This window comes from Homo sapiens, chromosome 7 (assembly GCF_000001405.40).
Source record: "Homo sapiens chromosome 7, GRCh38.p14 Primary Assembly".
Classification (NCBI taxonomy): Eukaryota; Metazoa; Chordata; class Mammalia; order Primates; family Hominidae; genus Homo; species Homo sapiens.
In genome coordinates, this window is record NC_000007.14 from 132,213,961 (window position 1) to 132,238,589 (window position 24,629).

The 24,629-nt window shown below is 48.2% G+C and overlaps 1 protein-coding gene across 8 annotated transcripts in view; it reads right to left on the minus strand.

Annotated features, from left to right (window-relative positions):
- The window catches only part of PLXNA4 (plexin A4), a 525,349-nt gene that overhangs the window by 90,621 nt on the left and 410,099 nt on the right, over positions 1 to 24,629 (minus strand). For all 8 annotated transcript variants that reach the window (XR_927546.3, NM_001393897.1, XM_017012779.1 and 5 more), the window contains 4 exons: positions 14,386 to 14,509; positions 13,491 to 13,644; positions 12,201 to 12,300; positions 9,567 to 9,681 (listed from right to left, as the gene is read on the minus strand). Coding sequence is in view for 7 of the 8 variants with exons in the window: in NM_001393897.1 (NP_001380826.1) it covers positions 9,567 to 9,681; positions 12,201 to 12,300; positions 13,491 to 13,644; positions 14,386 to 14,509 (493 nt within the window). In the remaining variant the exon portion in view is untranslated. The remainder of the gene's footprint in view (positions 1 to 9,566; positions 9,682 to 12,200; positions 12,301 to 13,490; positions 13,645 to 14,385; positions 14,510 to 24,629) is intronic.

The following is a 24,629-nucleotide window of genomic DNA, read 5'->3' on the forward strand; positions in this document are numbered from 1 at the left end:
TGGACCCCATCTATTTTGCAAAGGAGAAACTGAGGCAAGGAGAGCAGAAAGAAGGGCTCAGTATCAGCAGATGAGCTGGTAGCTGAAGAACTCAGATGCCAACTGCCTGAGTCACCAAGTTTCTGCCCTTCATGAAACAGGAGAGTTCCCACCAGTGGGCAGGACCACCTCAGGATGGGCTGGTCAGTCAGCAGGGGTCCCCCTGAAGTCCAGGGGACTCGGAGCTGTGAAACCCTCCGGAGCTGGGCTGGAACCCTGCCTGGGGGCTGGACTGTTCTTGTCCAAGACATGGGGAGCAGCAAAACCTGTCTCCCACGTCCCCTGTAAGATTCTTAGTGAGGCTTGTGATGAGTTCTCTAATGAGTCCTGATTATCGGTAGCCCCATAAAGGCCTAGTTTGCATATAAAAAGGTTGGCAGCTCTGAGAGTAAGTTCATTAATAATAACTGGAGAGGCCCAGGGCTGGGCTGGGCACATTTTCCTCTAGTGGCGCTGCTGATTGACCCCAGTGTCCCTCCTAATTGAAATGTAAAACGGCAATTTCTCCCTAGGCACCAAGGCATGAAGGGACCACTTCCACCACCCTGCCCCTTCCTCCCACCCCAGCATCCCAGATCCTGACCTGCCCCGCGCTGAGATTCCAGATGCAAAATCACCTACAGATCTGACACTCCAGGGCAACTTCGGATAAACTTTCATGTTCCTCCAGGATGTGAGCCCGAGGCCCTGTTTCATGGCCCAGGGACTCAGGGCACCCAGACCTTTATCTTCACCTTGAAGGCTTCTCACCCAGCAGGAGTCTGGCTGGGAATCCTGTAACTGTGAGAACAAGTCTGTCTCCCCACTCCTCGGCTAGTTTCAGAGTCTTGAACAAGTGCTCTCACCATTGCTTGGCTTAACCATGACTAGGGACTGAAAATTCCTCTCCCAAATGACCATTTTGGGGATTCCATAAACTAACACATATAAAGCGTCTGGTCCGGGGTGAGTGGACATTCAGCAAATGTTTGTTCTTTCCTCCTCTTTCCTCCCAACCCAGGTTGCGTCTTGTCCCTCATCTGCTCCCTTTTTCCACCTCATTTCCAAAAGACCCATCTCCCTTGCTCCTGCCTCCATGTAATTTTCTGCAAATACCCCAGCAGTTCCCACCCAGCTTATTCCACTCCTCTGGGCTTCACATCTTAGGATAACTCTGCCTAACTTAAATAGCTCTAAGTGTCCCAAACACAAGGGGGACTGGCAGGGAGGTCCCAGTTCTGGCCACTGCTCCCTGAACAGCAGCCTCCACTTCTGGGAAGTGACATTGTAAAGTTGCATGCTCCATGTGCTATGAGACAGGAGATCTGCCAGCCATTTGGCCTTGGGCAAGCCCCTCAAACCCTCTGAGTCTCTTTATTCATAAAATGAAGGGATTGGTTTGGATTCGATGAATTGTGTAGTCCCTGGAATATTGTGACATCAGAAATATATATTGGGTCTTTTCCTCTGGCTGCTGGCACGGTGCTTCTAAAACCTTTGGAGTTTTCTGAATGATTGGTGGAAAAGGAGCATCTTTTGTTATTCACAGCAAGCCCTTTTCCACTATACCTGAGTTTATGTTCATGAGGTGACTCCTGGAGGATGGGGGTATGTTGCCAGAGGATCCACACATGTAATTAGAGGATGGCACTTCAGCCCTCTCCTCTGGGGAAGGGAGAGGGGCTGGTGATTGAGTTCAACCATCAGTGGGCAATGGTTTAATCAATCATGCCTATGTAAATCAGCCTCCATCAACACCCTAAGTGAAGGGGTTGGGAGAGCTTCCCTGGTGGTGAACAGGTGGCGATGCTGACAGGGTGGTGTCCAGAGAGGACAAGGAAGTTCTATGCCCCTTCCCATACCTTGCTGTAGGCACTGCTGCATCTGGCTGTTTATCTGTATCCTTTGCAACACCCTTTTAAAGAAACTAGTAAACGTAAGTAAATGTTTCCCCGAGTTTTGTGAGCTGTTATAACAAATTATCCAATCTGAGGAGGGGATTGTGGGAGCCCCTGACTTATAACTGGTGGGTCAGAACTGCAGGTGACAACCTCAGATTTGCAATTGGCATCTGAAGTGGAGACAGTCTTTTGGGACTCAGCCCTTTAACTTGTGAGATCCAATGCTCACTCTGGGCAGGTAGTGTCAGAAATGAATTGAGTTCTAGGCTACCCAAGTGGTTTCTGCAGAGGATTGGAGAATTGCTTGGTGTAGAAAAAAGCCCCACGCATTTGCTATTGTGTTAAGCATAGAGAAGAACGGTTTGTTTTCCTTTTAGTCCCAGTTCTATCCACTATTAATAGCTGATAATCTGGAATATATAATTGTATGATCTTTTTGAAGCTCAGTTTTCCCACCTCTAAAATGGGGATAATAATACCTGCAAAACTAGCTCAAAATGTGGCATTCAGCAAACCAGTGAATGAATACTGAAGGCATGGGGGAGGTGGGCCTCCAAGGGGCGGCTCTTCACCTATCAGCAGGGACATGTTTTAATATTTTAATAATTGGTACGTTGCAACCTGGTATGGTTGTCCAGTTGAGCAACTGGCTCTGATAGGCAGCATGGGATACTGCTGTGATTCTAATTAACATGGTTAACTTGGTACAAGCATTCAATTCAGTGTCCATTCCACTACCTCCATCCCCTTCCACATATTTTCCATGTGCTATATTGTTTCAGACACACACACAGACACACATGCACAAACACATATAAGATCACTCCTATGTTCTAGATAAAGACACTAAGGACACCGTTTACGTCACTCTGCCCATGGCAATGATGAGCACAGTATTTTCACCCAATCACCGTACTGACCTTTATCCACAGATGATGATCCAGCTTCCACCCAAAACTCCTCAAAAACATACTGCCCTTCTCTTTTGAGGCAAGCCGTATCTCTGAACTATGATTTGAAAGGGCCAGCTTTTGGAGGATGGAAAACACCTGTATTTAATAAGATTCTTTGGAGACACATGCATGCCAAAAGAACCCAACTCCCTCGGAGGCTGTTTTGCCTGTGGCTACATTCTGCAGTTCTAAGAATGCAGGGGGGTGAGAAGTGGCAGCAGCTCGAGGCACAAGCACACCTTTAAAGGCCTGGCATTCAGGAGGTGACTCCAGCGAGCTCCAGGTCAACTGTCCAGCCCCATGCACATTTTGGTCTCCACTGAAATGCACACAAAATACAAATCGCACTGCTAATTGCAGAGGGCAGGAACACGAAGCCAAAGTATAAAAGCGAGAATGATGACTTTCTATCCACCATGTCCAGCACGTTAGTGACTGCTTTATACAGAGGCTTCATTGCATATTTAAATAATTGAACAAGGACATAAAGAATGCAGCCTAGCTGGGAGAGAAAAGGCTGCCTTCAGGGCTGGTGCTGCCTACAGACTGGGGGGATAGGCCCTTGAATTTATAGCCCCTAGTGTGTTTACAAAATGAGGGCTTTAATTCTCCTATTGTTACAGCAAGATTGGGGAAAACAGAGCTCTAGGGAAGAACAGGGACCTGGGGAAGCTAAGGAAGAAATGATTTGCAGGTCACCTCTCCTCTGTCCAAGTCACCTCAGCCTTCATCAGTCCCAAAGACAAGCCAGCCCTAACCCCAACCAACCCTCCAAATTTATACTCACCTTCTCAGAACCACAGTGCCCAATACAAAAATGTAACGCATCATATATTTTCTTGCTGTTCCCCAAGTTTATAATGTCATTAGTGTGATCTATGACAGGCTGGTTCATAGAGAGAGCAAAGTAATAATATAAAAAGGAAATACCCATAACCTGAAGTGGGGAGGGGCAGGCAAGATTGATGGAAAGTGCAGTTGTCTGGAGGAATGGCAACCCAGTAATTGAATACCTGGAGTGGGGGTGGTGCATGGGTGGGGAGCGTGTTCTGTAGCTGGATTTGCTTTTTTTTTTTTTTTTTTTTTTTTTTTTTTCACAGCAGGGTGAAAGGCATGGCAGGGGTGGTTTGGTTCCCTTGGGTTGGATCCCAGGAATGCCTTCCCTGCAAGAAGGGAAGCAGAATTGCTGACAAAGTAGGTTGGTGATTTCCCTCCAGAGTCCAGTCGGTGGGTCAATGCCCTTGGTCTGCTCCTGTCTCAGGGCATGGGGCTTATTTCAGCACCAGGGGCAAGCGGCAGCCCATGAGCTAGGACTTTCTCGGCCTTGCCGGCTCTTCAGTCCTGGAGAGGACTTGATCCTTTTGATAACGGATTTCATCCTGGCTCTGAATTTCTTTTCAGGGGTGTTGGGGTATTAGGGGATGTTGGGAGAAGCTTTCAAACACAGCTTTGCAAATCAAATAGAATTCATTTTGCCTCCTCTGATCTTACAACTATTCTCTGGAGTAGGCAGGCTGGTTGAACTTCAAGAGAAGAGGCGTTCCTGAGAGCCTCCTTGGTGAGCTTGCACACCTGGGGGCCAGATGTGCTTTGCCCTCCTTGCAAAGCCTCTCTAGTCTGGTGCCCAGAGAATACAGCTTCAGCAGCAGCTCACTTTGCTTTTCAGTTTAGATGAGAAAAAACAGCAAAATAGTCCATCAAGGACAAATTCTTGCCAATGGATTTGCTTTTGCAAGGAAGTTCACCTTTGTTCCTCAAGCATCATCTTTAAGTGTGAATGCCTGATGGGAGGTCCAGGTTGGCCTGTGGAGGAGCTGGGGATGGATTCCAAAACCACCTGGGGACCAGTGGCTGCTCCTGCTCAGTAGAGGGGTGGGCATGGCTTTGTTAATGGCTACCCAAGGCTCTGGCAGCTGATCTGAAGGCCCAGGGCTGTTATCATAATGCCATCATTAGTTGAAACAAAATCATTCTTTGTAACTGGAATATAGTTACTATAAACAACATATGTTATTGGGCATTCTATTTCTAATAATTGTAATTATGGTAGAATACTTGCCATTAATATAATAACAACAATGATTGACCAGTTCTCTGTTCCAGTCCAATAACTTCACCTGAACGCATTCTTTGTTCAGGAAAAAAAAAAGGTAATTCAATATCCCTGATAGTCAACAAAGCTACTGTTGAAATGGAAGACGCACAGATGAAAGCATTCCTGAGATGCAAGATGGTGCCGGGTAGATGAAAAGCCACCTGTCAGCCTCACTGTTAGCTAACAAAAGGACACTGTCTGCATCCCCTCACTCAAAGGGTAAAAGGAAATGAAAACCCCAGAGATTTGCAGAAGAGTCACCAGGGCCTGGGTATACCTTCATTCCAAGAGAGTGGGCCTTGGGCTGGACGTTCAGTGGAACTGCAGGCCCTGAGGGTATGGGTCACCCTGTTAGGTAAAGGTGGTCGACCTAAGCCTTGACTTGACACTCACTCTATAATCGCCAGCCCCCCTGACCACTTTTTGGGCATGGATTTATCTTGGGGGCTTTCCAGCTGCTTTCTACTTACAATGACAGAACTTTAGAGATGATGTAGACCAAAGGCCTCATTTTACAGATCTCTAAACACAGATCTCCATAGATCTTCTTCACCTTTAAACCTCTCACAATGCCTTGAGTATGGTTGAAATGCTTAGGGTAATGAAGAATGAAGAGTTAAATCATAACAAAACTTCAGATTATCGTGCTGTGAGTAAGCTCTTCCCCTAGAGTGGTGACAGGACATAGGTGTCTGGGGGCTTCCACAAAATCACCTTTTAATTGGGTAGTTTTTTTTTACCCCCTACTCCTGCTACTATATCTTCCCAGAAAAATATACAGTAATGTTCCACAGAGGGATGTTTCAGTCAATGACAAACTATATATATAGAGCAGAAGTCTCATAAGATTATAATATTGTGTTTTTACCATGCTTTTTCTATGTTCAGATGTGTTTAGATACCCAAATACTTCCCATCGTGTTATAATTGGCTGCAGTATTCAGTACAGTTACCTGCTGTACAGGTGTGTAGCCTAGGGGCAATAGGCTATGCCATATAGCCTAGGTGTGCAGTAAGCTACAGCACATAGGTCTGCATAAGTACACCCTATGATGTTCGCACAATGACAAAATTGCCTAATGACACATTTCTCAGAGGGCATCCCCAACAATAAGCAGCCCATGACTGTATATTGCTAAAATAAGTACATATAGAATGTAAAAATATAGCAAGCAAAACAAAACAACAACATAAAAAAATCCTCATATTTACACTAGCAGCCAGGAACTGTCTTTTGAGTTCTGAGGACAATGACCTCCTTTCACTGACCCCAAATGGCTGGAGTCAGTCAGTAGTCCACACATACTTCTTTACTTGTTTCCTCTTTGCCACATTCACTAGGAAGATGCTACAACAACCATCGCCAGGTGGCCAACTCTGGTTCACCTCTATGCTCACATTCAAAATGGCCCTGGGATTGAGCTGGGTAGAATGCAGCCTCCAAACCTAGACCAGAAGCTCCCCATTAGAGCTTCCTTTTCTTAGAATAAATAAACATCCAAGGTAAAGAGGAGCCAAAATGTATTCCATGTGATAAGGGAGGCATGGGCGATTCCAAACTACCCCAGAGCCCCTCCCTGCCATGGCCTGCCAGGCTCACCATACTATGGCTCATGGGAAATGGAGAGGATTTCAGTATGGCAGCAAGAGCTTAGTACATACAGCTCCATATCCTTCTCTCGGCCATTTCCTCCAGACTAATTCCTTTCTCCGGGGCCCTGGCATCCCATCCTCTGAGATGCTGTGAATCCCCAGCAGTCTTTGCTTGTGTCAGGTATAGAGGGGTTTCCCACCTGGCTTGGAGTCTGGGTGCTTGAAGCCATCATTCTTCTAAAGGGATCTCTGCATTGCCCTGGGACACATGGTGGGCTCTTATTTTATTCTTTTTTTTTTTTTTTTTTTTGAGACAGGATCTTGCTCTGTTGCCCAGGCTAGAGTGTAGTGGCTTGCTCATGGCTCACTGCAGCCTCAATCTCCCAGGCTCAAGCAATCCTCCCATCTCAGCCTCTCAAGTAGCTGGGACTACAGACAGGCATCGCCATGCCCAGCTTACTTACTTACTTACTTACTTTTATTTTTTGTAGAAAAATAAAAATATTTTTCTATTGGGGAGAGTTTACTATGTTGTCCTGACTGGTCTTGAACTCCTGGACTCAAGTGATCCTCCCACCTTGGCCTGCCAAAGTGCTGGTACTACCACGCCTGGCCTTATTTTATTCCCTTCTGGTTCTTTTTCCCTCTTTCTGAGCAACAGAAGGAGGCTCCTCTTCTATACTTAAAAGAAAGAAATTTGGTACAAGAAGAGCAAACAAGAAAGAAAAAGCAGAAATGCAAAAGCTTCTTGCAAGGTAATTAAATGATTAGAGGCCTTCAAAATCCACCAGCTAGCTCAATTGTTTTTGCTTTCAGTTTACTCTTGGGCCTCTCCGCACATAGAACCTCTGCCAGATATGGCAGTCTGGAAAGCTGGAGAGAAGCTGAGGACCACTTTGTCTCAACTCCCATCAAGTTATTTGCAGGTTTCAGACCAGAACAAGAAAAGGATTCTTCTCACATCCCTGTCCCCAGCCTTGGTAGGTCAACCAGTCCTTCTGCTCCTGAAACCACACCCTGAGACAGGCCTGGCCAGGCTGATGAGACTGTGCAGCCTTTTATCAAGGACATGCCCTTGCTGTCTGACTCACCTCATTCTTATTACCTTTATATCCATGTTGTCTTTGTTAAAGTAGAGAACTGACACATAAGTATGAGATTCACACTCTTACATAAAATCCAAGATGCAACCACTCTCCTCCCTTTCCCTATAAAGGGACAATCTCAGCCAGGGTCTCTTTTCCTGACTGTGAATCCATAGTAGCTATTTCCAGGCATGAACAGATTCCCACAGAGAGGGAGTTGGTTTTGTGTCTGAGGCTTCCATAATCTCTTCTTTTTTCTGTCTGAAACTTGCAAGGAACTTCATGGGAGCTGAGACAAAGGTTTTCAGCCTCTCTCCAGCTTTCCAGACTAGTGTATCTAGCAAAGGTTTTATCTAGCAAGGAGGTCCAAGAATAAAATGCAATCAAAACATTTGAGCTATGTGGAGGCTTCCAAAGGCCCCAAGTCATTTCATTATCTTAATGAAGGTTTTCAAATTTCTACTCTTTCTTTCTTGTTTGCTCCCCTTGTCTGTTACTCAATCAGGATCATCCTCTCTCCAGACAACATCTCCACTCCTTGCTTTTACTTCTAAAATCAATCACCCTGCTTACTGTCCACCTGTAGAACTCCTGCTCAGCCATCAGGATTCGGGCAAAACGGGATTTGGGCCGGGATTTTCTGATGGCTAAGCACAGTGCAGTCACTACCCACCGTGCTATGGGAGCCCCCATGCAGCAGGTGTTAGTGTGGGGTGTACATTGACCTTCCCTTTCAGCCTCATATAATAAACAGCTTCTCTCCTCCCATGAGGGTTTGGCCAAAGGTAGGATTCTTAGTGGGGTATGAGTCTGGGATGGGGAGGGCACTTGATGGGCCTGTGTGTTCTCTCAATGCCCCTCCTGCCCCCCTCCCCCCACCAAATCCCCTATGCTTCCTGCACCTGGACAGGTCCCTTCTCTCACAGCTGTGGGGCTGGCCACATGGTCATGACACCTGTGTGGTGTGTTAAAGGGGTCTGAAAGATACACGCAAGACTAGGGGTTGCAGGTGAAGGTGCTGGAGCCTGCTGAGTCCAATATTGGCTGAGAGAGTGCAAGAAACACTGTCATGTTTGAACAACAGAATTTTCCAGAGGTATACCTGTTATCCCAGAAGTCCTTGCCCACACTCTGACATTCCAAGACAGGTAACAGCATAGGCAGAAAGTATTTTTGGTACAGTGAGGATGAGTGTTCAAGAAGAATAAAAATTCAGAGGGAATAGAAAAGTCACATTTTAGCCTTAGAGCCAAACAGTATCTCAGCGATTCTTCAACCTGGACCGAGCATCAGAGCCACTGGGAGGGCCTGTTTAAGCCCAAGTTGCTGCACCCTGCCCCCGGAGCTTCTCATTCAGTTGGCCTAGGGTGGAACAGAAGACTTCGTGTTTCTAGCAAGTTCTCAGCTGATGCAGATTCTGCTAGTCTTGGAACCACGCTTTGAAAACCACCGCTCTAGCTCACAAGCTGACCATTCTTTCATTCTCATCTCTCTCCCTTTTACTCAGCTTGCCCTCTTTGGGGGTCTCACTTCTCCTCTGTGAACAGTGCCCTGAGGAACAGCTGAGGAGTCTGGACACAGTCCTGCTGTGTACTTACAATTATTTCTAGGACACACCAACACACCCATCTCTTTGGAATCTTTCTAGGACCCACCTGGTGTGTGGAGGATCCTTCTGGTTGGAGTGACCTGGAATACACCTTTGTCTGTAACAGAACCTCCAGGGCTGATCCAGAACCCACAGTCCCAGCACAGAGCTTGGCATATTTCCTGTTTTTATAAAGTGGACCCTTAAGAGCCAGGAAGAAGGGGGTGGTCCTGCACAGTTTTCCTTTGGTTTCTCCTCTTAAGGGAATGCCTCTCTTCTGTGTCCCATGCTCACAACAAGAGACACTCACCACTCTGGCTGCCAGGGACCTACCTCGGGCAGCTTCACTCGGCCTTCCTGGAAGGAGCAGGTCTTGGGGTCATGGGTGCAGACATGCCGGTATTTACACCAGTGGCAGCGGTATGGACTCTCCACGCAGGACAGGCACCTGGGCACAGGGGAAGGGAGGCACAAATCTAAGAACCTGGATGAGCCCAAAGCAGAGGGCTTGAGTCTCTATGGTCTAGCAAAACATTTTTAGTATTAAGAGAAACCACCGTTGAATGTGCAGGAAGGGCAGATCTTATGCACATCTATCCCTTTACTCCCCAAGACCTCAGGAAGCTAATGGTCTCTGGTTTCCTCCCTTTCCCATATGTAGCTGACAACCCCGTTCCCCCAAGGCCAAATTAGCCCTCCTCCATCTCCATGGGATAACATCCTCCTTTTCAAAAGAGGGAATGATAAGGTCTGGAGCAGAGGGCTTGTGTAGACAGACCTAAGAGTTGGGGCAAACAAAAGATTAGGTTTGTATGCAAATTGACTCCGGGTCTCTGCTGCTGAGAAGCCACCTGCACCTTGCCTCAGGAGGAAGTGACTGAGGCTGCTGTCTCACTACGATGGCTCCTCCATGGTTGGCAACCCCACCTTTCCCCTTTACCCCAGGAAACCAAGACAATTTTATAAGAGCTCCTGACTCCTTAAAAGCCCAACATGGTTCCCTTTTCCAAAAACTCAAATGCCTCTCCATACAGGCTATGCCCTTCACGGTATAGATGACCACTGCCCCCAACGCAGGTTTGTTGCTTTGGCCACGAATAGGCCACACTCTCCCCACAAGCCATTCCTCCCTCCAGAGCACCATTTCTTCTGTCCTCCACCTGACTACCTGCTTGACCAAGGAAGAGCTGGTCACCCTGGGCCCTTCTCCCGTGAATCTCTTGGCTGACATCTCTCGGACAGTCCTGGCCATCTTGTGTCATATCTCACCATTACCTGTCCAGCTCCTCTACTAGTCTGTAGGCCATCAACTCCTGGAGGGTAAGGATTGAGTCTTTGTGTTGCATTGATTTTTGACTCCACTGTGTCTAATGAGCAACACATTCCCTTGCACATGGGAGATGCTTAAAATCATTTTATGGGCTTAATGAAAGCTTCACACATGATTTCACCTATTTACTCTGCTTCCCCAGAGGGGAAAGTGGAGGGAGGGATTAGGCCACCGAGTGGTAAAGACAGGGACAGCTTTGCCGCAAGAGGCAAGAGGAGAGTCCCAGGGCTAGAGTAACTCATTTTTGGCTGGGAGGGCCGGATGCCTTCTTACTTGGGGCCCCAAAGAGAGCTAAGCTCTAGACTCACAGCTGCCATAAGCAGATCAATAGACCCTAAAATTCCACCAGCCTAGATCTCTGGTCATGTCAGCTACCTATCATGCATGGAGGGCAAAACAGGAGTATGTTAAAACAAGCAGGGTTTTTTGAGGTCAGGTCCCACGGTTTGCTCTGTGGAACTCTGGGGATCCCATGGAGTTCCTTTGGAGAATGTGTAGTTTTGTGGGGCTTCTGTGGAGAGGGGTTCCAGGCCCCCCAACCTTTAATCAGAGGAGCTCCTGCTTCCATCTATTCTGTATATTGGGCATCCACACCTACTTTCAGTTTAAGATTTCTATGGTGAGAAGAAAAAAAAGGCTGGCCCATTCACAACCTGGTCCAACCCCATTATTTGATAAAGAAAAGATAATATAATAATGGCAAGAACACATGTGGTGCCTAAACACTGGGCCAGACATGGCTGTAAATGCTTCTCCTTAGCATGGCCCTTTTACCCCTTGTGGCTGTCCTGCAGGGTAGGCAGAGCCGATATTCAGAGCTAGCAGCCAGCACAGGGTGCCAGCCAGTGACTGCTCAGATGGGACAGTGCTCCTGCCACGTCAGTTGGTAAATATTTGTGTGACGCCCTTGGAAGGAGCACTGTGATTTCCCTGTTGATAGAGGACACTGGGGCACAGAAGGGTTGAGCTTCTCAGCTGGTCCGGCTACAGAGCCAGAGCCTCGGCCCTCCCCACCTGCCACTGGAAGTTGGATACTTAAGTCAAACAAAGCTCGAGTTGGAGTCAGGCTTCCTGACCCCTAAGCCAGAGTCCGCCCCCCCCCACAGCTTTCTGCCTCCCTCTGGCCCTTACCAGCCTGTCTGCACTCAGCCTGGGCAGCCTGTGGGGAGCTGAGCATGCAATTGAGTGGTTAGACCACTTGCCCCAATCCTGGACACACACTGGGGCTTCTCTCCCTCCTCAGTTCCCTTCTCTGCCCATGGAGCTTGCTCTCTGTTCTTCATGTGGGATGCACCACCCCACAACAGATGGTGGAGATGGAATTGAGTTAGAAGGATTGATGTCAGGGAAGATGTATGCGCTAGGGATGTGGAGAGCCCCACTCCATAAGTTCTCATTTTCTGCTCTTCTAGTCTCTTTCCATTAACCCTGTGGGTACCAGAGGAGAGGGAGTGAGGGAGGCCTCCTCTGGGGCTTCTAAATGGTGACTCCCTGTGGGTACCAGAGGAGAGGGAGTGAAGGAGGCCTCCTCTGGGGCTTCTAAATGGTGACTCCCTGGGAATAGTGATGGGGTTTTCTGATCTTTGGATGAAACTTGACCCCAGGAACGGGAAGTGGGTAAGGCTGGGGCCACTTACGAATTGTGGACGCTGCAATTGTAGAAGACAAAGCTGGTGCTGGCGAAGGTCATGCCGGTCTCCTTTGATTTGAGCTGAAGCTGTACGACATGGTGGTCCCCTACAAGGAGAGATGGCTGAGGGGTCAGGGAATGCTGAGGCCCCAAGCCAGGGATTCCCTGACCAGTGACACCTGCTGGAAAAGGGAGCCTGCTCCCCAGGCGGCTGTTGGCTTAACAGGGCTCTGACTCAGCAGACCCAGTCCCAGGACAACCCTGAGAGCAGCTGCAGAGGGCAGTTCTTGTCTATTCTCCCTGCCCACCGTATCACTTCCACTCTTCCATGTGTACACACACAGATGCACACTGCCAGGGATTCAAATGTGCATTTGCATGCATGATGTCCTGCCCAGACTCACAAAATTGATTCATAACCAGGAGAAACACATATGTAGACTTCTAGGAATCTAGGAATGCTGCCACAAACTGCGCAAGAAGTTTTGCATGTATGTGTGTGTATGCATGAGCTCATTCCCTGTCTCTGTAAAGAGAGCCCCTGTTCTGACACCACTTCCTCTGGGGGGCTCAGGGCTCCACCGGGGCGGGAGACCCTGGAATCCTCATCTGGTGCCAGGGAGGAGCTGCAGCCCATGTTTAATTCACAGCCCTGACCCTAGGCCCCCACTTCAAGCCTTGTTCTTTGCCTTCCCTGAGAGCCTCATTAATCAATCAGCTCTGAACAAATGTGACAAGCACAAATGGGAGGGACAACATGGAATCAATCTGCCCAGGCTGGGCCTGTCCCTCACCAGCATGGAGCCTCTGCCCACTCCTGTCTTTCCCAGGGCAGCTTGCCCCCAACAACAGGCAGCTCTGGGGAGACCCGGTAGGGCAGAGTTGGGGAGGCAGTGGTCCAGGGTCAGAGATCGGCCATGTGAGCATCCCTGCTCCAGCTCAGTGGCCTCCTCCACTGACCCGCCAAGCCAGTGGTGCAGGCTGAACTTAACCACATGTTCTGCTGCTGTCCTGGCCTGCCCCTCCCCACCCTCTCTGCAGCTGTTCCTTGCCCAGGATGAGGGTGACTCTTGGGGGCTAACCTGGGGCTGAGACAGAAGGGCTGTAACAGTCAATGCCAAGGGCAATGGAGGGAGATCCCATCCCCCTCTTCCCATAACACACCCACCATCCCATGCCCCTTCCTCTGACTCTCTCCTGCCTGCAGGTTGCTTTGATCCCCCCACATCTGTCCTGAGTTCTCCTTATCTAGCCAGGAGGAAGAAGTGCCACTCAGCTGTGCCTCCGGGATGCTCACCATTCTCTGTGATGATCCGGGGCACCTCCTTGGCTGCAGGGGAGTAGCACTGGATCTGATTGCCCACGACCAGCCCATCCATCTCTGACAGGTCCTCAAAGGTGCAGTTGACGCCAGCTGACAGCTCCGGGACATTGTACGTCTCCAGGACCAGCTGTGAACAGCCAGGCGGGGGGAGAGAAGGAGGAGGGTGAAATGGGAAAAGGACAGGTATGGAATAAAAAAAGAAAGTGGGAGAGTGAGAGAGATCACAGGGAAAGCAAAGACAAGCAAGAGGCAATATTAACATGGAGAAGAGACTCAGGTTATTAGGAGAGTGGCACAGAGGCCGTGGTGAGATGCAAAGAGACAGAGACAAAAGAAACCTCATTAGGATGGAAATGGATTTGGCCCCAGGAAACAAGAATGCTTAAGGGATTTGCGTGGTGCCATTTTGATCAGGACTGAGGCATGGCTGATGGAGCACCTCTTCCATTAGGCCCAATTTTGGAAAAATAGAAACACCAACCACCAAGTGCTCAGTGCTGGAACTTGGAAGTCACCTGTGCCCCTTTCTCTCTCTGTACATGCATCTTTCCCATTTTATAGTTGAAGATATCATTCCCAACACCCTTTGTCATTCTTTGTCACCCTTTGGTCATTTTTGGTGATGGTGCTCCCTGTCTTTCTACTCTTTATGAATAGAGCCTCTTCCCCAATAGTCCTGTCCCTGTCTCCTTCTTGCATCCCCCCGTAGACACTTAATTCTTTGATATCCTGCACCCTTCTCTTGAGCTGCTTCTGCTGGCCGGGCTTGGCCCAGTCCTCCAGAGGGGCCTTGGGCTAAGGCACTTTTTAGTGAGGGGAGAGTTTTCCTTGCATCCCTGGACCCCACCCCAACCCCCACGACCCTTACCAGCACGTTGTACTGAGAGACGGAGATATTGTTGGGATGGACCGTCAGCCGGACACACTGCTTCATCTCCGAGGCAAACCTGCGGGGCTCCTTGGACCGCTCACACCGCTCCTTCCGGGTGCAACTGGGAAGGACATACCCTCGAGTTACTCAGGAGATGGCCGCTTGGTCCAGGGAGGGGCGGATGCTGAGGTCAGGTGTTTCCAGCAGCTCCCAGGATGTGTCCAAACTCAATGCGCCCAGAGCTAACCTTTTTGTGTCCTTCCTCAAGCCTGGTCCTCCTCCATCATTCCCAAATTTAGAAAAGATGGCAATTTCAATCACCTCTTGCCAAAGGCAGAAACTTGAGAGTCATCCTAACTCCCCTCATCCTCTCCAAACTCACATAAGGTGTTGCACAGTTCTGTCTATTCACCCTCTCTGCACATCCTTAGCCCTTGCCATTCTCTTCTCCTCCTTAGGCAACCAGAGATTTGTTTTCTTCATATAGAAAATATACCTCCTTGGCTTTGAACATGCCAGTTCTTCTGCTGGACTTCCTTTTCCTCACTTCTCCACCTGTCCAGTTCCTACTTTTTCTTCCAGCCATGGCTCAAGATGCACCTGCAATCTCTCCTGCCCACCCTAGGCAAAGTGAAGAGCTTCCTCCTATGATCTCATAGCACCTCGGAGTCTCCTACTTTAATAAGTCTGGAATTTCTTAGATTGTATGACAATTATTGGGCTAAGTGCAGTCCTCTCCTGCCAAGTAGGAGCTTTTCAAAAAAAGCAGCTATGTTCCATTTATTTTAGAATCCCCTCATGTAGGCAGGTGGGAGAGAGGGAAGGAAGGATCAAAGGAGCTAAGAACTGTAGTTAAAAGCTTGCTCTGGATCAGAATCCTGGCTCTAAGGTTTGCTGTTACTCTTCAGTGCTCTGTGCTGTGTAAAGTGTATGGTGTCACAAGTGGACCATGTCCAGTGTGACCTGGGATCTTGCAGTCCTAGCTGATGAAGGTTTGTGAAAGATGCATGTAAAAAACATGGAACTCTCCTGAAATGCAGGCATCACTTGAGGTCACTGCATGGAGGCATCTGAATTTCAGGGAGCAGTATTTAATCCAAGTCAGGTGAACTTTGTGGACATGGGGCTTCACCAAGTGGTCATGATTTGGAAACTCTGGACTACAGATTCTGTTGTGGGGTGGGGGCAAGCAGGGTCCTCAGGAGGGACAAGACAAGAGGAGATGAGACAGCAGGGAAATCACTCCAGAGTTGCTGATCTCTTTTGATTAAAGAGAAAAGATTTTGCAGAGGAAGGAAGATGTCAGGAGCTGTTGCAGGGCAGGAGAGAGCCCCAGGCAAGGAGTTTATTAGGACACAGAACAGCCAGGGATAGGGAATCTACATGGGGAGGGAGCCTTGGGGAGGGAGCCTTGGAGAGGGAACGACTGTCTCAGGAAGCAGACAGGTGTGGTGTGGGGCAAGGAGATGAGGGAAGGGGGTACCTGGACACCCTGAGCTGCTATTGGGGTAACTCAGGCTTAGGGAAAGCTATGGGGGTTTCTCCTCCTAACCTTTGGCCACAGCAAGAGGGGCAGCCTGGGTGGAGAGCCTGAGAGGAGAATCTAGCAAATGAAGGAGAAATCATTGAAGGCCATGGACTGAAGCTGTCCCTCTAAGGATGGGATAAATGGAGGAACACAGGGACAGAACAAAGGACTTCAGAGTAGATTGGATGTGCAATGCGAAAGTAAAAAACACCCCTGAACAGTACATTCATGGCTGCGAGGTACAAGTGCTTATTAATAGGCACATGATATGGAGTTTACATTGTCTAGCGTTTAAGTCTCATAACAATGCTGCAACAAACCCCACCTTGTCAGGATGTGTTGGGACAAAGACGCACCCTGCGGCCTGTAGAGCCTACGGAGCTCTACCTCCTGAAGCTTCCAGACTGAGGAGTAAGGGGCAGACCCCTTGCTGCAGACTAAGCTGGTTCTTCTCGCCATCCTGATGCCCCCTTCATATCCTTAGGGCAATTCAAACATTTTCCCCTCAATCTTTCTGTCTAGGCTAATCGCTATTTTTGCCTGGCACTGGGAAGCACTTTGAGTGTTATTGCAACTTGTTGGACGAAGATAAATTCTCCAGGGTGCTTCTAGAAAACCCCCTCCCAGGAGTGAAGGATCAGGCATGAGTGTGGTCACCCCCGTGGCACTTCCTTGCTGCTCCAGCTGACCGATGGCAACAAGAGCGTCTGCCTAAAAGACTTGGAAGTTAATTTACCAGGCCAGCTCCTCTGCGAGGACTCCATTACCTTCAGCCATTAAGCTAATGTTATGGACTTTTCCAGAGTGTCTGCACTGACATCGCTATTAATAGTGTTATTACTCCCATTAACAGCAGACCCAGAGAGCTGGTACGGGCTTAAATTATTCACTGACTCCCCAACTTTGAAGTTCCTATTTCTAAGAGCAATCAGTAGGTCTGAAAAATGTCTTTGATTAAATTATGAAGAGAGCGAAAAGCAGAGCTGTTTCCAGGCCAAACATCACCTGGAGTTACCAAATAGAGATTCAGATAGAAAAGACAGGACTCTATCTCTCTTCCAGGGGTAGGGAGGAAGAGGTGGCACACAGGTGTTTGCTCGGGGGATCTCAGGACAAATTCTACCTGCATTGCTTGCTGCTTCCAAAGTTCATGGGGTTGCATCTTGCCACTGCTCCTGAAAGCCCCAAAGAAACTACTCATCATCTTCCCCCAATTTTAGGTTTTATAGGGAAGCCACCTGTAATTTACAATTTTAAACATCACTGTATAATCTTGGGCAAATTACTTAACTTCTTGGTGCCTCAGCTTTCTCATCTATACATTGGGGACAAAACAGTACCTACCTAATACGGTTATTATGAGGATTAAATGAGATTATGTGAGTAAAGCATTAAGGACAGGACATAGCTCATAGTAAGCCCTCATAAATGTTAGCTAGTATTATCATCTTATCCTTTCTCTGACATCCTCATTTGACCTCTCCAAACTGTAGCTGATGCAGAACCACAGATTTATTTTATTTTTTATCTTATTTTTAGAATGAGTGTTTTTTATTTTTATTTTTTGAGACAGAGTCTGGCTCTGTAGCCCAGGCTGGAATGCAGTGGCGTAATCTCAGCTCTCTGCAACCTCCACCTCCTGGGCTCAAGCCATCCTCCCACCTCAGCCTCCCAAGTAGCTGGGACTACAGGCACACACCGCCATGCCCAACTAACTTGTATTTTTTTGGTAGAGATGGGGTTTCACCATGTTGCCCAGGCTAGTCTCAAACTCCTAAGCTAAAGCAATCCACTCATCTCGGCCTCCTAGAGTGCTGGGATTACAGGCGTGAGCCACCATGCCCAGCCCAGAACCACACATCTTCTCCATGACTGGCCCTTGGGGCAAATCAAAGACAAAAGAAAGGCACGGCTGCAGCAGTTTTCCTCCTAATAAAGGAGAAGGACAACCCAGAGGCCAGGAGGGAGAAAAGAGCGAAAGAATGGTCTGGATCATAGCTCTGTTTTCTTACTAGTTGTCAAAGGGTATTGAGAACTCAGCTATCTTAGTGGAAAGTCAAGTGTAAGGTCAGAGCCAGGGATGTTTTGACATTTCTACTATCCTCCAGGATTCATGAGGGTGGAGGCTACAAATGTCCAAAAGCACAGACAATTGACCTTAAATGTGATAGGATAATGGAAGGCGAGGCACGAATTCCTGCTGGTTTCTTGTGGGGTCTGTCAAGGGAATGGTCTTCTGCTTTTCTAGGACTGCAATTCCCAACAGCCCAGACTAGATCTGGGAACCAGAGCAAAATGTTAATTCACGACCTGAGAGGCAGGGGTAGTGGCTTAGATGTTTCATTCCAAGAGGCCTCAGGTACTCCTAAAGCATGTCCCTCAGCTCCACTGTACAGGCCCCTTGACATGAAGGAATCCCCTGCTTCATCCATTTCCCAGGTAGGAAAACTAGAGCTGAAAACGGATTCAGACAGTGCATATACTGTGTGACTTGGAGTTTTCTGACATTCTTCTCTGCATGCCAGTGTCACCCCCGCCCCAAATGCAAACCTTCAGATGGCCAGCAGGAAGCCGACCCCAAGAGGACACACCAGACCCCTAGAGCTGGAGTCCCTCCCTGCTAACCTCTTCTGACCTCTCTTCCTCATTCCACTTCTCTGCATTTCATCTTCTCCAGCCTCAGATCAAAGGTGCAAAAAGCCCTTGGGGAGAAAGGCTCTAGGGCCCCTGGAAGGGGTTATTATTCAAGCCAGTGGTTCCAATGAGATTATCCTCTCTAATGAAGCAGCTACCTCCGCCCTCCCCTAAGCCTGAACTTTCACTGCTGGAGAATTCCCAGCCAAGTGGAAAATTAGAAGGGAGAGGAATGAAGGAAGGAAGGGGGTGAGGGAGAGGGAGAGAGGTGGTGATTAAGTCCTCTAGAAATTAATTCCCAAATACAGCGATAGAAATATTAACTCCCGGTGCCGCTGGCCAGGCAAACAAATTTCAATTTGGAAACAGGGCTATCTGTGAGTCCAGCCTGAGTGAACCGCCAAGCTTGGAGGGGCTGTTGCTGATCCATCTCCCTGGGCTCTCTAGCATGTGTTTACCAGGCTTAGGCATCAGAACTTGCTCCCTACTTCTCCCTGCAGATGATCCCCAATCCTTAACATTTCACATTTGCCATGACCTATGCTTAAGGTGCACCATCTGTGCTTAGAATTGAGAAGATTGAAAAAGAAAGGGGGTAAGGATGAGGGCCTTCCCCAGCAGACCTAATAGAAAAGTTAAGATAATTTAGAATGCCTACTCACCTAGGAGATTATTGGAAGCTTTGGTCATTGTCATCACATCTGGGGACCCTGACAAGGGAAGAGACTAGAATTCCTAATTCATTATCCTTGTCCTCCTTAAGAATGACCACAGTAATGGATAGATGCATATGTGTGGCTTGGAGGAAGTGGAGTAGCTAGTATAGGATCCTTCCTAGGCAGGTGGGTGTGTAAGAGGTTTCTTATATGTAGGGGTAGATCAGATGAGTCCTTTCAATGTTACAATTCTAGGATCCAATGACTGATACCATGGTCTCAAGGAAGTTGAAGTATTTGGGTTGTGCCATGTAATACTTAGGATGAATCCCAAGATAGGAAGCCCAAGGTTCTACTGTAATTTTCCCTCTGCCATCAGTTGCTGGCAACTGGGCCCATGGTCCTTTGCCATCTCTAAAGATCCAAAATTAACCTAAGAAGCAGCTGAATCAGATTTACCCATGCATCCCCTACAGAAGGAGGGCATAGGACTTAGCAGAAACCAGCAGGTTCAGGGGTTGAGTGGAGACCCAAGAACCTTTCTGGGCTTATATAGCAACCAAGGCAACCTGTCCCACCATAATCAGCTCAGATGCTGGGCTTGCAGCCTTCATTGAGAAGCCATGTTCTGCCCTGGGTCCCTGACTGGATTCTGACCTTGGTAGCCATGCTTTGAATGAACAATCTATTGAACAAAACCTTAGGTGAGAGGTAAAAAGGACCTGTAAATGTTCGTTTTTTTCCAGATGATCCCAAACCAAACCAAATTACATGTAGCAGCTGCCAAAAGAGAAAGTGAAGTGGGCTTGTCTTTCTCTTTTCTTCATCAGTGGCTAGCTCTATTAGGGCCTATTAATTTTCTACTAAGGTTGAGGAGAGGTTAGGAAAGAACAGGTGTGGAGCAGAGCAGGAGTGGAGGGAGGGAGAGGGAGGGAACGGCAGGAGAAGGGAAAAAGGAGGAGGAGACAGCAAAGGCATCGCCACAGGTGAATCCATTCTCTTTCTAATCCAGTCGGTAACAAGGAGAATGCTGCCTATTACCTGAGACACATTCCAACAATGACTCCAGTTGATTCTCATCAACTTTACACTATACTTTATCCAACAGCCTGGTGTCTTCATGTCCATTAACGTCACCAAGTCCAGTAGGCTTGGTGCAGGGGAGCACTTTGCTCTGTGCAGGCTGGGCTGCTCCATCCTATGTGGCCCAGTGCAGCATGATTGAATGAAGTGTGTGAATGCTGGAATATGGGTGTGTATGTCTGGAGTGAAGCCTCAGAGGTAGGCCAGCTCCTCTGGTTGTCCACAGGTATCCAAGTCAATAGACTGGGAGGGACATTGAGAGCTTGAGCAGACCACAGGGCTTTTCTAATTTATATGGGAAGATGGCATTTTTGACTTACCATTCTCTGGTCATGAAGCATGTGTTTTGTGTGTGTGTGTGTGTGTGTGTGTGTGTGTGTATGTGTATTGGGGGCTTGGCGGGGGGCAGGGTTAAAAAAGAAAAGGCCCATTTCCTTAAGTCATACTATGTCTCTGCTAAGCCATTGGAGAGGAAAATTCCAATGTACTAGTATCTGATCTAGTCTGGGACTCATTTCTTTGGAACAGAGGCTGATAGCTTTTTGGCAAAGAGTCAAGGAAAATCTCCTTGCACAGACTGCAAAGAGTTTGCTGGGTGGAAGTGGACACCAACCATTCCTCATGACTGTGTAGGCCTTGTGCAAGCAGCCCTAGGAGAGATCAGTGACCAGCAGATTAGTGTTAAGTAGCCCTTGAATATAGGTTTAAAAAATGAGATAGCAAGGCTGTGGGATGTGCCTCAGTGAAGCAAGGCAGGGCTTGCATTTTGCAATCAGCTTGTGTGTCATTAAGTGGACATTGGCATGGCTGGTTGAAGCCTTCCAAGGGGAGGAAGACTTCCCAACAGTGGGCTGGCTCCAGCACCAGCCACAGCCCTCCAGTCCTGGGGAGGAGAGGAATGGAAGGGGAGGGGGACCAGGAGGAGGCACTGGGATCCAACTCCAGCCTCTGCTCCCACAGTCGAGGCCCTTTGGGCCACTTCAGGCATGAGGACCTGCTGCATTGTAGGCCCAGCGAGGGGCTTCATGCAGGTCCCCTCCCTTAATTTTCATAGCATGGCTATGAAATTAGAGCTGAAGAAACTAAACCCAGACTGGGTCTGTTCTTAGACAGGTCCTCAGTTGTAACTAAGTTGTAACTCATCTCTTCTGCTCTGAAAAGCAGTGTCTTTCTTGTCTTTCCACTTGCCATCTTGGAAGAAACCATATAGAAAAGAATAGGAGTGACTCTTGAAAAGTAACCCCTGCCAACCTATCCAGAGGAGGGCATTCTTCCAACAGAAGAAATCTGGGAAGAGGCAGGGTCGTGAGGGGGTGAAAGGGAGACTTTATGAAAGCTGATCTTATCCTTCCCCTGTGATGTCTTGGGTTACATGAGCCTCCCAGGAGTGATGCTGATGACTTTTCTTAAGAAAGGTAACGCCTGGGCCAATCGATGCGGCTGGGTCTGCTGGGCAGGATCCCATTACCTGCTGAGACTGAGACAGGCTTCTTTGCCTGGGCACGAAGCCATGGGAGGGGAAGATGGAGAGGGGGCTGGGGACCTGCCAAGCCTGGTCACTGGAGAAAATGTTTCTGGCCCAGGACAGGAGATAGCTGTGATAGGGCGAAGGCAGGGTGGGCTTGTACGCTTTCCTTTACCTTCACCCAAGTCAGAATGAGTCAGCTCAGGAACAAGGAATAAAGGCTCAAAACTCAGGGCCACCTCAATACTTAGCATTGCTGAAGCTGTCATTGCCATCAGAGATGGGCAAGCCTGTGGGCCAGGGTCAGGGGCTGCAAAAGAGAGCAACTGAGTGACCCTGTGTGCTACCAGGTTGGCAGGCGAGTGCTTCATGACAATTGAGAGTAGCAGGAGAGAGGATTTAAATTACACGAGCCTTTCTTAAGCATGTTTTGTGCAACCCACCTGGGACTTTGCTGCTACAAACAGCCCATTCAGCCACATGAGCCACCTGTTTACAGAGGCCCTGACCTTGCACTGCTCAATCACATGTGCTGACTCTCAACCCCTCTCTCTGCCTTTTCCTTCTTCCTCTCTTGCTGTCTCTGTCTGTCTCTGTCTCTCATACACCCATCTGCTGCCCTTCTCTTCCACAATGCTACCACCACCTCACTCCCTCCAACCATGGGGAAAGTTGGCAAAAGTGACTGAGAAAATGGACTTCTCTTGACACCTCAAGGAACTCTTTTCCTGCCGTCCTGGTCTTCCTGAGTGAAGATCAGGCTTGTTGAGGCCACTTAGCAAGCAACCGAGTCACTTGGCACAGGGTCTTGCCCATGGTGGGGGCCTAACAAATGCATTGATTCTAGTAAACTCCCACTGTGAATCCAAGGCCTGGTTCCCCAAAATCTTTAGGGCAGAGATGACCTAACAGAGTCGCCTTCATATCACTGAGCCTGGCACACTGCTGGGCACGAAGGGAGAAGGGCAGGTCTGAGAGATCTACGGACAAATTTGTGAGTGTGGACACAGCACTCCTTGGAAGCAATTAAACCTCCCACTCTTGCCACCTGTCTCCCTTCCTAGAAAATGGATGCCCTTCAGAGCAAGCATCCATAGGCTCTCTCTGGCTGCCGTCAACCTCCTGTACTGAACTGCCAGCCCCCAGCCTTCTCCTTTCTCTCCTGCTGAGCCCACTTCCTCATGTGTCTCTCCAAGCCATGGATGTCCAGTTTACTCTTAAGAAAAGTGAAAGGGAGGGCAGATCAGGAGGAGCAATATCTGGCTTTGACCTGAACCTGAGGAACTAGGGAAGAAAGGCCCACTGGGAAGAAGGAGAGAGCTCTCTGGATAAAGAAAGTGTTCTATATCTTGATAGACATGTGGATTACAAGCGTGTTTGTCTTTGTCAAAGCTTTCAAGCTGTACACTTAAGATCTGTGCATCTCATTCCATCTACATTTAAAATTGTACCTTTATTAAAAATATCTTAGAAATCCAGGGACCTACTCTACTTATCCAGGACCGGATTTTAGAACCTGGATTTCAGGACCTCAGAAATCCATACCTGAGGGATTTCAGACTTTCCCTTAAGGAACTCAAGGACTCATTATGCCTCAGACTGCCACTCAGAGATGGGGAGGGTGCCTGCTCTTGTATCAAGGATGTATTCGAGTTTAAGAGGGTATTTTTAGCTTTTAGAGGCACTCTTCGCAAGGGAGTGGGGGAAGACAAGATTTTACCCCCACCTTCTTATAGTTGCCAGGGGGCTCTCCTTGGTCATAACTCTGAGAGGGAGGGAGGATGGATTTACTGAGTGCCTCAGCGGGCAGGCAGCCTTGGCCTATGGGGGCTCTTGAGCTTTGTCCTGGAAGAGTTGGGCTTTACCAGACACATTGGCACAAATTTATACCTGTGTCTGCCTTCCTCAGGTCACGGACATAACCAGGAGGCTCAAGGTTACGAATGACAGCACCTTGCCCTGACAGAGCATCTTGGAATTCTGTAACATCCTATATCAATCACCTCTTTTTATCCTCGTGCCATCACTGTGAGAAGGTACCGTTCTCCCTCTTTGAAACAAGGATGCCAAGTTTCTGACATACGGAGTTATCGTGGAATCTATTTGCAAATTCAAGTAACTGCTAACGTTTATTTGTGACAAAAATCGGTACCCGTGGACACGTACAGGGCAGTGAAAAATTTGAGTGATCTGGCACGCACACTCCCAGCTGAGGTGGGATAAGGCAGCCTCAGCTTCTTGTTTTAGCTCTCGCTCTATGAACAAGTGTCCTCTTCAAGCCCTATTTCATGCCACATTTTTCTCATTTTGCAGGTGATTTTGCCGCTTAAAATAGTCCCCGAATGTAGTGCTGAAGGTCTGTCTAGTGATCCTGAGTGCAAGAAGGCCATGGTGTGCCTTATGGAGAAAATAGCTGTGTTGGATAAGCCTTGTTCAGGTATGTGTTATAGTGCTGTTGGCAGTGAGGTCAAGCTTAATGAATCTATTATATATATTAAGTAAAATGTCTTTAAACAGAAACACACACAAAACAAGGTTATAGATGGATTTGTTGATGAAAATGTGACCAGAGGCTCCCAGGAACCTAACCCTGTATTTCTCCTAGGAGCAATGGCTTGGTATTCACTAACTCCGTGTTCCAGCGACTTTATGGAACATATCTACCATGTGCAATGAGAACTGACTGCACTTGTTTAAAGCCCCACAACAAGTTTCCAAGGCATGTGAACTTGAGTCCACTGATTTCCACTCCAGTAATCTTCCCAGTGTCCCCCAGTGCTTCAATGCGCTGGCTCCACTGTGGCTCCTTGAGCAACGAGGTGCCAGCAGCAGCAGCAGACAATGATGACCACAAAGACAACAACACTTGCACAGC